Consider the following 15,040-nt stretch of genomic DNA (forward strand, 5'->3'; position numbering starts at 1 on the left):
TGTGCGCCTGTAATTCCAGTTACCCGGGGGTGCTGAGGCAGAAGAATCACTTGAACCTGGATGTTGCAGTGAGCCAAGATCGGGCAACAGAGCAAGACTCCATCTCCAAAAAACAAACAAACAAACAAAAAACGCAAATTAATTTTTAAAATATGTACCCTTAGAAAATTCTAAGCTCGTTTTTATTTTCAGTGTTCACTCTACATACATGTATTATATATTGTGGCTATTCATTCAACAAATACTTATTAAATGTTTGTTTTATGCCAGGGGCTATGCTGTATACTGGGGACGCAGCCGGAATGAAAGACACACAAATCCCTGTCCTTATGCAGGCAATAGGCAAGAGGGCAGATAATTAACAACCAATAAGCAAATGTCTAACATGTCAGATGGTGATAAGAAGCAAAATGTATCACATCTGTAATCCCAGGGTTTTGGGAGGCCGAGGTGGGAGGAAGGCTTGAGCCCATTGAGCACAGGAGTTTGAGACCAGCCTTGGGCAACATAGCGAGACACTGGTCTACAAAAAATTTTAAAATTAGGCAGGCATGGTGGTGTGTGCCTATAGTCACAGCTACTTGGGAGGCTGAGGCGAGAAGATCATTTGAGCCTAGGAGGTTTAGGCTGCAGTGAGCTATGATTGCTCCACTGCATTCCAGGCTGAGTGACAAAGCAAGACTCTATTTGATAATAACAACAAAGAGAAAGTCATAGGGGTCAGGTATAGTGGCTCATGCCTATAATCCCAGCACTTTGGGAGGCCAAGGTGGGCAGATCACTTGAGGTCAGGAGTTCGAGACCAGTAGTAGAGACATGGTAAAAGCCAGTCTCTGCTACTAAAAATACAAAAATCAGCCAGGCACGTTGGTGTGTGCCTGTAGTCCCAGCTACTTGGGAGCCTGAGGCAGGAGAACTACTTGAACCCGGGAGGTGGAGGTTGCAGTGAGCCTAGATGGCACCACTGCACTCCAGCCTGGGCGACAGAGCGAGACTCTGCCTCAAAAAAGAAAAAAAAAATGAAAGAAAGAAAAGAAAAGGTCATAGGACAGAGAGGAAAGGGATGGTTGGGTGTTTTTTTTTTTTTTTTTTTGGTTTTTGTGGGTTTTCTTTTAGATGGAGTCTTGCTCTGTCACCCAGGCTGGAGTACAGTGCCAGGATCTTGGCTCATTGCAGCCTCGACCTCTTGGTCTCAGGTGATCCTCCCACCTCCACCTCCCAAGTTGCTGGGACTACAGGTATGTGTCACCACACCTGGCTAATTTTTAATTTAATTTATTTATTTTTGAGACGGAGTTTCACTCTTGTTGCCCAGACTGGAGTGCAATGGCATGATCTCAGCTTGCTGCAACCTCCGCTTCCCAGGTTCAAGCGATTCTCGTGCCTCAGCCTCCCAAGTAGCTGGGACTACAGGCATGCACCACCTCGCCCCGGCTAATTTTTGTAGTAATAGAAACAGGGTTTCTCCATGTTGGTCAGGCTGGTCTGGAACTCCCGACCTCAGGTGATCTGCCCACCTTGGCCTCCCAAAGTGCTGGGATTATAGGCGTGAGCCACTGCGCCTGGCCTCACCTGGCTAATTTTTGTACTTTTAGTAGAGATGGGGTTTCACAGTGTTGCCCAGGCTGGTCTCGAACTACTGGCCTCCAGTGATCTGCCTGTCTCAGCCTCCCCAAGTGCTAAGATGACAGGCTTGAGCCACCACGCCTTGCCAAGGTGATATTTCAGGCAAGGCCTGAAGGCAACGGAGCTGTATGGATGTCTGAGAGAAGAGCATTCTAAGCAGAGGGACCGAGCAGCTAGTGCAAAGGCCCTGAGGTCAGACCATGCCTGCTGAGCGTGGGACGTACCCAGGAGGCCAGTGAGGCTGAACAGAGTAAGCCATGGAGAGAGAGAGGGAGGAGGTGAGGGCAGGGAGGTGACAGGGCAGGTCATGCAAGGCTTTGTGGGCTGTGGCGAAGAGCTGGGCTTTTTCCTCGGAATGAGGTGGGAACCATGGAGGTTTCTGAGCAGAGCAGGGATGTGTCCTGACTTAGGTGTGCACAGATGTCTCTGGCCGCTATAGTGAGGATAGAAAGTGTCTGTGTTGGTCCAGGCAGGAGATGACAGGGCTGTGTGAAAGGGTGGGTGCTTGAGGAGCAGGTGAGAAGAGGTTGGATTCTGGATAGCTCTGAAGGCAAAACTGATCTCAAGCAGAGAGGCAGCCCAGGTTCCTGGCCAGAGCACGTGGGAGGATGGAGCGGAGTCATGGGATAATCAGAAGCTTGGACAGGCCAGGCACGGTGGCTCACACCTATAATTACAGCACTTTGGGAGGCTGAGGTGGGAGGATCCCTGAGGCCAGGAGTTCCAGACCAGCCTGGGCAACATTGCGAGACCCTGTCTCTACTAAAAATACAAAAAATTACCTGAGTGTGGTGGCGCGTGCCTGTGATCCCAGCTACTCAGGAGGCTGAGGTGGGAGGATCGCCTGAGCCCAGGAGGTCAAAGCTACAGTGAGCTGTGATTATGCCACTGCATTCCAGCCTGGGCGACAGAGTGAGACCCTGTCTCAAAAACAAAAAAGCTTAGATGCCGCCGCACTGAGTATGAGATGCTCACGTGTGTTGGGGGGAGACAGATGTCACATAGGTGTGCAGCTCAGAGACAAGGGTTTCCAGAGGGCTTAACTTTTGGGACTCCTCAGTGTGGAGCTGGTGGGTGGGGCCTGAATAAATTGTCCCCAGGGCACCCTGTGTAGTTGGGAAGAGAAGAGGCCTGTGGCTCGCTCTCTTTGTCCACTGCTTGGAATGGGTAGGGTGGGACCAGCCAGCCTTTGGGCTGGCAGAGACTTCGAGAACCACAGGGCTTCTTTAGGAGTCTGGGTCACCCCAGGGCATGACCTGGCGCCTCAGGCCTTGCCTGTGGTCCAGGTGTTTAGACAGGGCCCCTCTGCTGGTGGCTACTAGGAGGAGAGGGCGCCTTTTTAAGGATAAGTTGAGTTAGTGACCAGAGCCCTGCCTGCGAGTCCTAGAGTCTAAGGCAGCAGCTACAATTATTGGACACCAAATGTATATGATCACGCTGACTGTATAACCTCATGCTGTCTGTGTACACCCAGCACTAAATGTATATTCCTGCTGAGGATACCTCCACACCACCTGTATAATGCCATGTTAACCAAATAATTGGCTGCACTATAAATATCTATAAATATTCAAGTAGAGGCAGGTTGTGGCGTGGTGACTCGTGCCTGCAATCCCAGCACTTTGGGAGGTTGAGGTGGGAGGATTGCTTAAGGCCAGGAGTTTGAGCCCAGCCTGGGTAACACAGTGAGATCCTGTCTCTATTTTTATTGTATTGTATTTTTTTTTTTTTTTGAGGCGGAGTCTCGCTCTGTCGCCCAGGCTGGAGTACAGTGGCATAATCTCGGCTCACTGCAACCTCTACCTCCCAGGTTCAAACGATTCTCCTACTTCAGCCTCCCCAGTAGCTGGGATTACAGGTGCCCACCACCACACCTGGCTAATTTTTGTATTTTTAGTACAGACAGGGTTTTGCCTTGTTGGCCAGGCTGGTCTTGAACTCCTGACCTCAGTGATCTGCCCGCCTCGGCCTCCCACAGTGCTGGGATTACAGGCATGAACCACCACACCCGGCTAATTTTTGATTTATTGATTGATTGATTTTTTGAGACACTCGCTCTGTCACCCAGGCTGGAGTGCAGTGGCACGATCTCGGCTCATTGCAACCTCCGCCTCTCGGGTTGAAGTGATTCTCCTGCCTCAGCCTCCCAAGTAGCTGGGACTACAGGTGCACACCACAACATCCAGCTAATTTTTGTATTTTTAGTACAGACGGGGTTTCACCAAGTTGGCCAGGATGGTCTCGATCTCTTGACCTCATGATCCGCCCACCTCGGCCTCCCAAAGTGCTGGGATTATAGGTGTTAGCCACCACACCCAGCCTATTTTCTTTTTTCTTTTTCTTTTTGGAGACAGAGTCTCACTCTGTCCCCCAGGTTGGAGTGCAGTGAGGCAATCTTGGCTCACTGCAACCTCCACCTCCTGGGTTTAAGCGATTCTCCTGCCTCAGCTTCCCAAGTAGCTGGGATTACAGGCATGTGCCACCACACTGGCTAATGTTTGTATTTTTAGTAGAGAAGGGGTTTCACCATGTTGGCCAGGCTGGCTTAGAAATCCTGATCGACCTGCCTCAGCCTCCCAGAGTGCTGGGATTACAGGCATGAGCCACTGCACCTGGCCTATGCCTGCTCTTTGAGGTCAGTTTTGGTTTCATACTTTAGCCTCATTTTGCAGTTGAGGAAACTGAGGCTTAAGGAAGATAAGCCCTTTGTTAAGTATCCTCTAGTTCAGAGGGTGCAGAAGGAGCATTTGAATTCAGGGCGACCCAGGAGGATGTGGGCTCCACAAGGGTGGAGATTGGGTCTCTCTGGTTCCTCACTGTATGCGGTGCCCCGCCCAAGGCCTGCACCCACTAAGGGCTGAATAAATACTTGTTCTAAGACCAGGCCCAGTAGTGCACGCAGGTAATCCCAGCACTTTGGGGGGCCACGGTGGGAGGAGCCCACGAGTCCAGGAGTTAAAGATGAGCCTGGGCAACATAGCAACATCCCATCTCTACAAAAAAAATTAAAAATTAGCCGAGTGCAGTAGAGCACCTGTAGTCCCAGCTACTCAGGAGGCTTAGTCAGGAGGATGGCTTGAGGCAGGGAGGTCGAGACTGCGATGAGCTGTGATTGCACCACTGCACTCCAGCCTGGGCAACAGAGGGAGATCCTGTCTCAAAAAAAAAAAGCAGCAGACAGAAAGAAAACTAATTTCCTGCACAGCTTGGAGAAGTTTTCAGCACCAACATTCCACAGTTGGTTGTCTGGGTTTGGGCAGTAGGCCGTTTTCCCTCCCAGTGCCTCAGTTTCCACACCTGCAAAACGAAGCCACGGAAACGCCCTTTCAGGGTGGCCAGGGGTTCTAGGCGGCATCGCCCGGTGGCAGGGTGTTCCCAGGGTGAAGCCGCAGGGTTCCCGGGTGGGGGCGGGGAAGGCTAAATGCGGCCGGCCGGTGAGTGGCGGGAGCAGCTGCAGCCCCGCCCGCGCCCTCCCGGGTCCCTTAGTCTGGGCAGCTGCCCAGCTCGGGCCGGTCTGACCGGTTTGGGCCGCCCCGCCTGGCGCTGTGCTGGGAGGAGCCGCCGCCAGTCGCGCGGTCAGTGCCTCCCTCCAGACTCGGGAGGGTCGAGGGGGCGCGGGAGAGAGCGCGGGCGGCCGCCGGGGCTGGTCGCCTGCAGGGATGGGGGACGAGCGGCCCCACTACTACGGGAAACACGGTAGGCAGCGACCCCCGCCCGTAGCCCCGGGCCGACCCCTCGGTCCCTCGGAGGGGGCCTTGAGAGAACATGGGGCGCAGGGAAGGGGGCTGGAGGGGGAGCGCAATTGCAAATCTGCGCCTGGAGCCTCCCCACCATCAGCCAGGCCCCTTCACCCCACTTATCCCCCGCAGCCTCGCAGACGACCCTCCTTACTCTCCCCTACCCGAAGGACCTGCCCCTGTACCCCTCTGCCTGGCACTGCTGCCGGCGCCTCCTTCCCCCTATCCCACCTCAGATCTTCCCCATCTCCACCTGGTTCCGTGGTGGTCACCATTTCAGCCCTCTTCCCAGTGGGTGGCCGCCAGTTAATAAGTTTGTTCACAGTTAGTGATCCCTCCTTCCTCCCCTGTCCTGGCCTGCCAGAACTGGGGGCTTGGGTGTGGTCACCTGGAGGTGGGTGAGGCAGAAAATTCCACAGGTCTCTGAATTTTATTCTTGCCAAGGCAAAGACACCCCTAGGGGCTTTTGGGAGGGGGCTCTCCCAGCCCTGTCTTGGTTCAGGTCTCCAATCCCATCCATCTTAATCTTCTTGACTTTCAGGAACGCCACAGAAGTATGATCCCACTTTCAAAGGACCCATTTACAATAGGTAAGAGCTCTGGGTTTTGGGGGGTTCTCCCCGCTAATACTACCCCAATCCCTGTCTCTTCACACCCCCTCCCATCTGTTCTCCAACAAACTGGTGACAAATATTTGAAACTTTTTTTTTTTTTTGAGATGGAGTCTTGCTCTGTCACCAGGCTGGAGTGCCGTGGCGCGATCTCAATCTCGGCTCACTGCAACCTTCGCCTCCCGGGTTCGAGCAATTCTCCCACCTCAGTCTCCCAAGTAGCTGGGATTACAGGCTTGCACCACCACACCTGGCTAATTTTTTTTTTTTTTTGTACTTTTAGCAGAGATGTTTCGCTGTGTTGCCCATGCTGGTCTCGACCTCGTGAGCTCAAAGCGATCCACCTGCCTTGGCCTCCCAAAGTGCTGGGATTACAGGTGTGAGTTACCACACCTGGCCTGGACTTAATTTTTACCATGTTTATATTTATTTATTTATTTATTTATTTTTGAGATGGAGTCTCACTCTGTCACCCAGGCTGGAGTGGTGCAATCTCAGCTCACTGCAACCTTCCCCTCCTGGTTCAAGCACGTCTTCTGTCTCAGCCTCTCCAGTAGCTGTGACTACTCAGAGGCTACTCAGAAGGCTGAGGCAGGAGAATTGCTTGAATCTGGGAGGTGGAGGTTGCAGTAAGCTGAGATTGCGCCACTGCACTCCAGCCTGGAGGACAAGAGCGAGACTCTGTCTCAAAAAAAAATAACAAAAAAATAAAATACAGCCAGGCACGGTGGCTCACACCTATAATCCCAGCACTTTGGGAGGCCAAGGCAGGTGGATCACTTGAGGTTAGGAGTTCGAGACCAGCCTGGCTAACATGGTGAAACCCTGTCTCTACTAAAAATACAAGAATTAGCTGGGCATGGTGGCGGGCACCTATAATCCCAGCTACTTGGGAGACTGAGGCAGGAGAATCGCTTGAACCTGGGAGGTAGAGGTTGCAGTAAGCTGAGATCGTTCCACTGCACTCCAGCCTGGGCGACAGAGTGAGATTCCCTCTCAAAAAAAAAAAAAAAGTCTAGCTTGGGCAACATAGCGAGACCTTGTCTCTACAGAATGTATATAAATTAAAAAAAAAATGTGTGGTGGTGTGCACCTGTAGTCTCAACTACTTGGGAAGCTGAGGCAGGAGGATCACTTGAGCCCAGGAGTTCGAGGCTGTAGTGAGCTATGATCATGCCACTGTACTCCAGCCTGGATGACGGAGTGAGACTCTGTTGCACAAAATTAAAAAATGAAATGAAATAAAAATTAAAATGCATGTGCCCTTTGGTACGGCATTCAAACGACTCAGGAAAATTTGTCCAAATAACACATGGATGAGGGTGTTTGCAGAGGGCAGATGGGCCCATGGTGCACACAGCACCAAGCCTCCTCCAAACACTGCCCCTCTGCTCCCCAGGGGCTGCACGGATATCATATGCTGTGTGTTCCTGCTCCTGGCCATTGTGGGCTACGTGGCTGTAGGCATCATAGGTGAGTAGAGAATGAGCAGGACTTGGAGTTGCAGGGTAGGCGGAGGCAGCCATGGCCTCTGGAGTGGGAACAGGGCTGGATCTGAGGAGTGGCAGTGTCTCAGTATCCCTGGATCTTTCCACAGCCTGGACTCATGGAGACCCTCGAAAGGTGATCTACCCCACTGACAGCCGGGGCGAGTTCTGCGGGCAGAAGGGCACAAAAAACGAGTGAGTTGACTCCTTGCGGCCTGGTGGGGCTGGGGAAGAGGGGGCAGAAGATTCTAGGCATTCCCCATCTCTCTAAGTCCAGTTAACAAGTGCTTATAGGCTGGGCGCGGTGACTCACGCCCGAAATTCCAACACTTTGGGAGGCCGAGGCAGGAATATTGCTTTAGGCTAGGAGTTCGAGACCAGCCTGGCCAACATGGCAAAACCCCGTCTCCACTAAAAATACACAAATTAGCCAGGCATGGTGGCACATGCCTGTAATCCCAGCTACTCAGGAGGCTGAGGCAGGAGAATCACTTGAACCACAGGAGGCAGAAGTTGCAATGAGCCGAGATCGTGCCACTGCACTTTAGCCTGGGGCACAGAGTGAGACTCTGTCTCAAAACAAACAAGCAAAAATTAAGTGGACGTGGTGGGGCACACCTCTAGTCCCAGCTACCCAGCAGGCTGAGGTGGGAGGATAGCTTGAGCTGGGAGGCCAAGGCTGCAGTAAGGTATGATTGTACCATTGCACTCCAGCCTGGACGACAGAGCGAGACCTGGTCTCAACAAAACAACAAGAAAAGAAAACAAGTACTGATAAACGTCCCACTACCCTCAGCCACTAGTCTAGTCCTTGGGGACACACAGCTCTAAATGAGATAGTAAGCATCCTGTTCTCTGGCAGCACACATTTTAAGGGCGGGAGAGACTGAGAGGGGACAGTCCTGGATTACGCGTCAGGTGGTGATGAACAGGTGAGACAACAGAGCAAGCATAGCCTGAGTGGCGTCACTTCCTGGCTCTGTGACCTAGGGCAGGTGTCTCAATCTCTCTGAACCTCGTTTTCCTCATCTCTAAAATGAGGATCATAACAGTCCCACCCTCATGGGGCTATTTTGATGGTTAGATGTGCCAATACATGTACAGAGCTTAGAATGCCACCTGGCATCGCTGGGCGTGGTGGCTCACACCTGTAATCCCAGCACACTTTGGGAGGCTGAGGTGGGAGGATCAAGACCAGCCTAGTCAACATGGTGAAACCCCGTCTCTACTAAAAATACAAAAAAATTAGCTGGGCATTGTGGCATGTTCCTGTAATCCCGGTTACTCAGGAGGCTGAGGCAGGAGAATTGCTTGAACCTGGGAGGCAGAGGTTGCAATGAGCCGAGATCGTGCCACTGCACTCCAGCCTAGGCAACAGAGCAAGACTCCATCTCAAAAAAAAAAAAAAGAATGGCACCTGGCATAGAGTTGCTGATGCTGCAGTTTTTAAACTATTATTATTATTATTATTACTATTATTATTTTGAAACGGAATTTTGCTCTTGTTACCCAGGCTAGAGTGCAGTGGCACAATCTCAGCCCACTGCAACCTCCGTCTCCCGGGTTCAAGCGGTTCTCCTGCCTCAGCCTCCCGAGTTGCTGGGATTACAGGCATATGCCACCATGCCCAGCTAATTTTTGTATTTTTAGTAGAGACGGGGTTTCATCATATTGGTCAGGCTGGTCTCGAACTCCTGACCTCAGGTTATCTGCCTGCCTTGGCTTCCCAAACTGCTGGTATTACGGGTGTGAGCCACCACACCCGGCCTATTATTATTATTACTATTATTATTATTTTGACACAGTGTCTCACTCTGTCAGCCAGTGGCAGGATCATAGCTCGCTACAGCCTGGAACTCCTGGGCTTAAGCGATCTTCCCACCTGGGCCTTCCAAAGTGCTGGCACAAGACAGGCCTGAGCCACCCTGCCTGGCCCTATATAAGATATCTTTTTTTTTTTTTGAGACAGAGTCTCGCTCTGTCGCCCAGGCTGGAGTGCAATGGTGCGATCTTGGCTCACTGCAACCTCCGCCACCCAGGTTCAAGCAATTCTCCTGCCTCAGCCTCCTAAGTAGCTGGGATTACAGGTGCCCGCCACCACACCCAGCTAATTTTTTGTATTTTTAGTACAGACGGGGTTTCGCCACGTTGGCCAGGCTGGTCTCGAACTCCTGACCTCAGGTGATCCGCCTGCCTTGGCCTCCAAAAGTGCTGGGATTACAGGTGTGAGTTACTGCACCCGGCCATATAAAATATCTTAAAGGAAACAATAGGCCGGGCACGGTGGCTCACGCCTGTAATCCCAGTACTTAGGGAGGCCCAGACTGGAGGATTGCTTGACACCAGCCTGGGCAACATGGTGAAATTCTGTCGCTACCAATAATAGAAAAAATTAGCCAGGTGTGGTTGCGCACACCCGTAGTCTCAGCTGCTCAGGAGGATGAGGTGGAGGATCACTTGATCCTAGGAGGTAGAGGCTGCAGTGAGCCAAGATTGTGCCACTGCTCGCTCTGTCTGGGCAACAGAGAAAGACTCTTGTCTCAAAAAAGAAAAAAAAACAAAAGAGGCCGGGCGCAGTGGCTCACGCATATAATCCCAACACTTTGGGAGGCTGAGGCGGGTGGATCACCTGAGGTCAGGAGTTCGAGACCAGTGTGGCCAACATGGCAAAACCCCGTCTCCACTAAAAATACAAAAATTAGCTGGGCATCGTGGCGGGCACCTACCTGTAGTCCCAGCTACTCGGGAGGCTGAGGCAGGAGAATTGCTTGAACCCAGGAGGCGGAGGTTGTAGTGAGCCCACATCACACCATTGCACTCCAGCCTAGGCAACAGAGCAGGACTCCATCTAAAAAAAAAAAAAAGAGAAAAATAAAAAAAGTTTTCTATAGGGTGGTTAAGAAGTCTTAACAGGTCGGGTGTGGTGGCTTACACCTGTAATACCAACACTTTGGGAGGCCAAGGCAGGCGGATCACCTGAGGTCAGGAGTTTGAGACCAGCCTGGCCAACATGGTGGAAACCCCATCTCTACTAAAAATACAAAAATTAGCCGGGCTTGGTAGCGGGCACCTGTAATCCCAGCTACTCGGGAGGCTGAGGCAGGAGAATTGCTTGAACCCGGGAGGCGGAGGTTGCAGTGAGCCGAGATCACACCATTGCACTCCATCCTGGGCAACAAGAGCGAGACTCTGTCTCAAAAAAAAAAAAAAATCTTAACAGTTTCCATTCTCCCTTCTCTAACTCCAGGAACAAACCCTATCTGTTTTATTTCAACATTGTGAAATGTGCCAGCCCCCTGGTTCTGCTGGAATTCCAATGTCCCACTCCCCAGGTAACCTGGTCCCCACCGTTCCCTTTTTCCTCTCCCCGCTTCCCATCCTTTTCCCCCTGTGAATGTGGGCTGCGACCTCAGTCCTGAGCAGTCTGCCCCAACTCCACCCAATCCCTTCCTTCTCCCCTCCCAGATCTGCGTGGAAAAATGCCCCGACCGCTACCTCACGTACCTGAATGCTCGCAGCTCCCGGGACTTTGAGTACTATAAGCAGTTCTGTGTTCCTGGCTTCAAGAACAATAAAGTGAGTTGTAGACTGTCCTGAGAGCACAGGTATGGGCAGTGGCAGTGTACTAGACTTGGGGACTCACCTCCCTCCATCTCTCTTGGCAGGGAGTGGCTGAGGTGCTTCAAGATGGTGACTGCCCTGCTGTCCTCATCCCCAGCAAACCCTGTGAGTCAGGGGATCCCAGGAGGCTCAGGTGGTGACGGGGAGGCTCTGCAGAGGCTCAGCCTGACTGGTGCCATCCTCTGCTCCATGCAGTGGCCCGGAGATGCTTCCCCGCTATCCACGCCTACAAGGGTGTCCTGATGGTGGGCAATGAGACGACCTATGAGGATGGGCATGGCTCCCGGAAAAACATCACAGACCTGGTGGAGGGCGCCAAGTGAGGATATTGGCGCACCGCGCCAGGGTCTCACTTTGCTGGGTGGGACAGGCAATCCCCTGTGGTTGGCCTGATCATGGAAGAGGGTCTGACCCGAGCCTTGTCCTCCTTCCCCCAGGAAAGCCAATGGAGTCCTAGAGGCGCGGCAACTCGCCATGCGCATATTTGAAGATTACACCGTCTCTTGGTACTGGATTATCATGTAAGTCAGGAGGGAAGGGGCCTCTCCCCTGGCTGCCCCCTCTAAGCCTGGCTGAGGGTGGAGTCTGTTCATGACCGTTTTCTTTTCCCCAGAGGCCTGGTCATTGCCATGGCGATGAGCCTCCTGTTCATCATCCTGCTTCGCTTCCTGGCTGGTATTATGGTCTGGGTGATGATCATCATGGTGATTCTGGTGCTGGGCTACGGTGCGTCACCCCCTCCCTGTGGCTTCTCTTTCCTGAATCCGCACACTGCCCTGCCCTTTCCCGTGGAAATGGCCCATCAGGAAAACAAAAAAAAGTCAGGCCGGGCGTGGTGGCTCACGCCTGTAATCCCAGCACTTTGGGAGGCCGAGGCAGGCAGATCACCCGAGGTCAGGAGTTCAAGACCAGCCTGACCAACATGGAGAAACCCCGTCTCTACTAAAAATACAAAATCAGCCGGGCATGGAGGTGCATGCCTGTAATCCCAGCTACTCAGGAGGCTGAGGCAGGAGAATCGCTTGAACCTGGGAGGCGGAGGTTGTGGTGAGCCGAAATCACGCCATTGCACTCCAGCCTGGGCAACAAGAGCGAAACTCCATCTCAAAAAAAAAAAAAAAAGAAAAAATGTCTCAGCACCGTAGTTAAGGATGCATACTCTGGTATCAGAATAGCAGAGGTTCAAATCCTGGCTTTGCCAATTCTTTGGGCAAGTGCCTCAACCTAACTGTGCTTCAATTTCTTTCTTTTTTTTTTTTGAGACGGAGTTCTGTTCTTGTCACCCAGGCTGGAGTGCCATGGCGCGATCTTGGCTCACTGCAACCTCCGCCTCCTGGGTCCAAGCTATTCTCCTGCCTCAGCCTCCCAAGTAGCTGGGATTACAGGCATGCACCTCCATGCCCGGCTGATTTCGTATTTTTAGTAGAGATGGGGTTTCTCCATGTTGGTCAGGCTGGTCTCGACCTCCTGGCCTCAGGAGATCTGCCCGCTTCAGCCTCCCAAAGTGCTAGGATTACAGGCAGGAGCCACCGCGCCCGGACTGCTTCAATTTATTTCTCTATAAAATGAGGGTAATTCATATTTCTAGTTGGCAAACTAAATGACAAGGAGGTAATGAGCAGATAAAATATGGGTAGGGGCCTGTTTAGTTCAGGCCTGTGGAATCCAGAGGCACAATATCGTGCTCAACAAAACAGTGCTTCATATTTTGGATTTTTGTTGTTTTTGAGTTGTTGTTTTGTTGTTGTTGTTGAGACGGAGTCTTGCTTTGTCACCCAGGCTGGCGTGCAGTGGTGCAGTCTCGGCTCACTGCAATCTCTGCCTCCCGGGTTCAAGCAATTTTCCTACCTCGCCTCCCGAGTATCTGGGATTACAGGCGCACACCACCATGCCCGGCTAATTTTTTTTGTATTTTTAGTAGAGATGGGGTTTTACCATATTGGCCAGGCTGGTCTCGACTTCCTCGTGATCTGCCTGCCTCGACCTCCCAAAGTGCTGGGATTACAGACGTGAGCCACCGCGCCCAGCCTTGATTTGTTTTTTGAGACAGAGTCTCACTCTGTCACCCAGGCTGGAGTTCAGTGGCACAATCACAGCTCACTGCAGCCTTGACCTCCTGGGCTCAAGTGATCCTCCCGTCTTGGCCTCCCAAGTAGCTGAAACCACAGGCAAGCACCATCATGCCTGGCTAAATTTTTAATATTTTTGTAGAGACAGGTTCTCCCTATGTGGCCCAGGCTAGTCTTGAACTCCTGAGCTTGAGCAGTCCTCCCGCCTTGGCCTCCCTAAGTGTTGGGATTACAGGCGCAAGCCACTGTGCCTGGCCCATATTTTGATTATTCCTTGAACTTTCCTGGAAGAAAAATGCTTGGCAATCCAATTTGAGGACACTCATAGTAAAATATTCATATTAATAGTGGTTTCTAGCTGGGTGCGGTGGCGCACGCCTGTAATCCCAGCAATTTGGGAGACAGAGGTGGGCGGATCACCTGAGGTTGGGAGTTCGAGACCAGCCTGACCAACATGTAGAAACCCCATCTCTATTTTTTTTTTTTTTTGAGACAGAGTCTCTCACTGTCGCCCAGGCTGGAGTGCAGTGGCGCGATCTCAGCTCACTGCAACCTCCGCCTCCCGGGTTCAAGCAATTCTCCTACCTCAGTCTCCTGAGTAGCTGAGATTACTGGCGCCCACCACCACGCCCAGCTAATTTTTTTTTTTTTTTTTTTTTTTTGTATTTTTAGTAGACACGGGGTTTCACCATGTTGGTCAGGCTGGTCTCGAACTCCTGACCTCGTGATCCACCCGTCTTGGCCTCCCAAAGTGCTGGGATTACAGGCGTGAGCCACCGCGCCCGGCCAACCCCATCTCTATTAAAAATACAAAATTAGCCGGGCATGGTGGCGCATGCCTGTAATCCCAGCTGCTCGGGAAGCTGAGGCAGGAGAATCGCTTGAACCCGTGAAGTGGAGGTTGCGGTGAGCCGAGATTGTGCCATTGAACTCCAGCCTGGGCAACAAGAGTGAAACTCCGTCTCAAAAAAAAAAAAAAAGAGAGAGAACTTAGACCATGGCAGCATATGATTATGATTCCAAGTAGGGGGAAAGGGTTCTGGAAGTTCTCTTCTGAAGGTGACACTTGAGCAGAGACCTAAGGATGTGTGGGATCCAGCCATGGGGAGAGAATGCACCGGGCGGTGGGAACTGCAAGTGTAAAGTCCCTGAGGCAGAAGCCTCGATGTTTGCTTCTGTTAAATGGGGGCAGTTGTAGCTGCTTTGCAAAGTTGCAGGAGGCACTGCTGGACTGAGCTTGTGGTTCCCCCATGCAGGAATATTTCACTGCTACATGGAGTACTCCCGACTGCGTGGTGAGGCCGGCTCTGATGTCTCTTTGGTGGACCTCGGCTTTCAGACGGATTTCCGGGTGTACCTGCACTTACGGCAGACCTGGTTGGCCTTTAGTGAGTCACAGTCTCCCATTCCTGCCCCCACATGAGGCCTTGGAGGGAGTGGGGAGCCCAGCCGGCTCAGCCTTTGCCCTTTGCAGTGATCATTCTGAGTATCCTTGAAGTCATTATCATCTTGCTGCTCATCTTTCTCCGGAAGAGAATTCTCATCGCGATTGCACTCATCAAAGAAGCCAGCAGGTGGGGGGCCAGGGTGCCAGGGGCCAGGATGGAGCTGTCCCTAGAGTTGTGTCTTTTGCCCTGACGCCTGTGTCTCTGCTCTTCCCTAGGGCTGTGGGATACGTCATGTGCTCCTTGCTCTACCCACTGGTCACCTTCTTCTTGCTGTGCCTCTGCATCGCCTACTGGGCCAGCACTGCTGTGTATCTGCCCCCAGACACTGATCTCTGACCCCAGGGATGGCTAAAGACCAACTTTGCCTAGAAGTGACCTGCAGCTTAGGGATAGGGCTGGAAACTGGTGGGAGAATGGATTCTTTCCCACAAAAGTCCCTGG

At 52.2% G+C, this 15,040-nt stretch overlaps 1 protein-coding gene across 5 annotated transcripts in view, besides 1 other annotated feature; it reads left to right on the forward strand.

The window, feature by feature from the left end:
• The window catches only part of SLC44A2 (solute carrier family 44 member 2 (CTL2 blood group)), a 42,103-nt gene that overhangs the window by 17,894 nt on the left and 9,169 nt on the right, over positions 1 to 15,040 (forward strand). For 3 of the 5 annotated variants that reach the window (XM_047439112.1, NM_001363611.2, NM_020428.4), the window contains exons 1-13: positions 5,205 to 5,322; positions 5,905 to 5,953; positions 7,374 to 7,447; positions 7,572 to 7,656; positions 10,709 to 10,793; positions 10,927 to 11,037; positions 11,127 to 11,187; positions 11,278 to 11,401; positions 11,520 to 11,603; positions 11,696 to 11,808; positions 14,408 to 14,539; positions 14,626 to 14,725; positions 14,815 to 14,907. In XM_047439112.1, coding sequence (XP_047295068.1) covers positions 5,286 to 5,322; positions 5,905 to 5,953; positions 7,374 to 7,447; positions 7,572 to 7,656; positions 10,709 to 10,793; positions 10,927 to 11,037; positions 11,127 to 11,187; positions 11,278 to 11,401; positions 11,520 to 11,603; positions 11,696 to 11,808; positions 14,408 to 14,539; positions 14,626 to 14,725; positions 14,815 to 14,907 — 1,148 coding nt within the window. In that variant the 5' untranslated portion in view covers positions 5,205 to 5,285. Of the gene's footprint in view, positions 1 to 5,204; positions 5,323 to 5,904; positions 5,954 to 7,373; positions 7,448 to 7,571; positions 7,657 to 10,708; positions 10,794 to 10,926; positions 11,038 to 11,126; positions 11,188 to 11,277; positions 11,402 to 11,519; positions 11,604 to 11,695; positions 11,809 to 14,407; positions 14,540 to 14,625; positions 14,726 to 14,814; positions 14,908 to 15,040 lie in introns of those variants that run through there. The other 2 variants (XM_047439113.1, NM_001145056.2) reach the window with 1 other exon arrangement.
• Positions 3,663 to 4,244: an enhancer, noted in NCBI's record as "H3K27ac-H3K4me1 hESC enhancer chr19:10734687-10735268 (GRCh37/hg19 assembly coordinates)". NCBI's record gives its function as "activates a minimal SCP1, AML or CMV promoter by ChIP-STARR-seq in primed H9 embryonic stem cells {active_cell/tissue: H9 hESC(primed)}" and the evidence as "EXISTENCE:reporter gene assay evidence [ECO:0000049][PMID:30033119]".

The sequence above is a fragment of the Homo sapiens genome, chromosome 19 (assembly GCF_000001405.40).
Source record: "Homo sapiens chromosome 19, GRCh38.p14 Primary Assembly".
Lineage (NCBI taxonomy): Eukaryota > Metazoa > Chordata > Mammalia > Primates > Hominidae > Homo > Homo sapiens.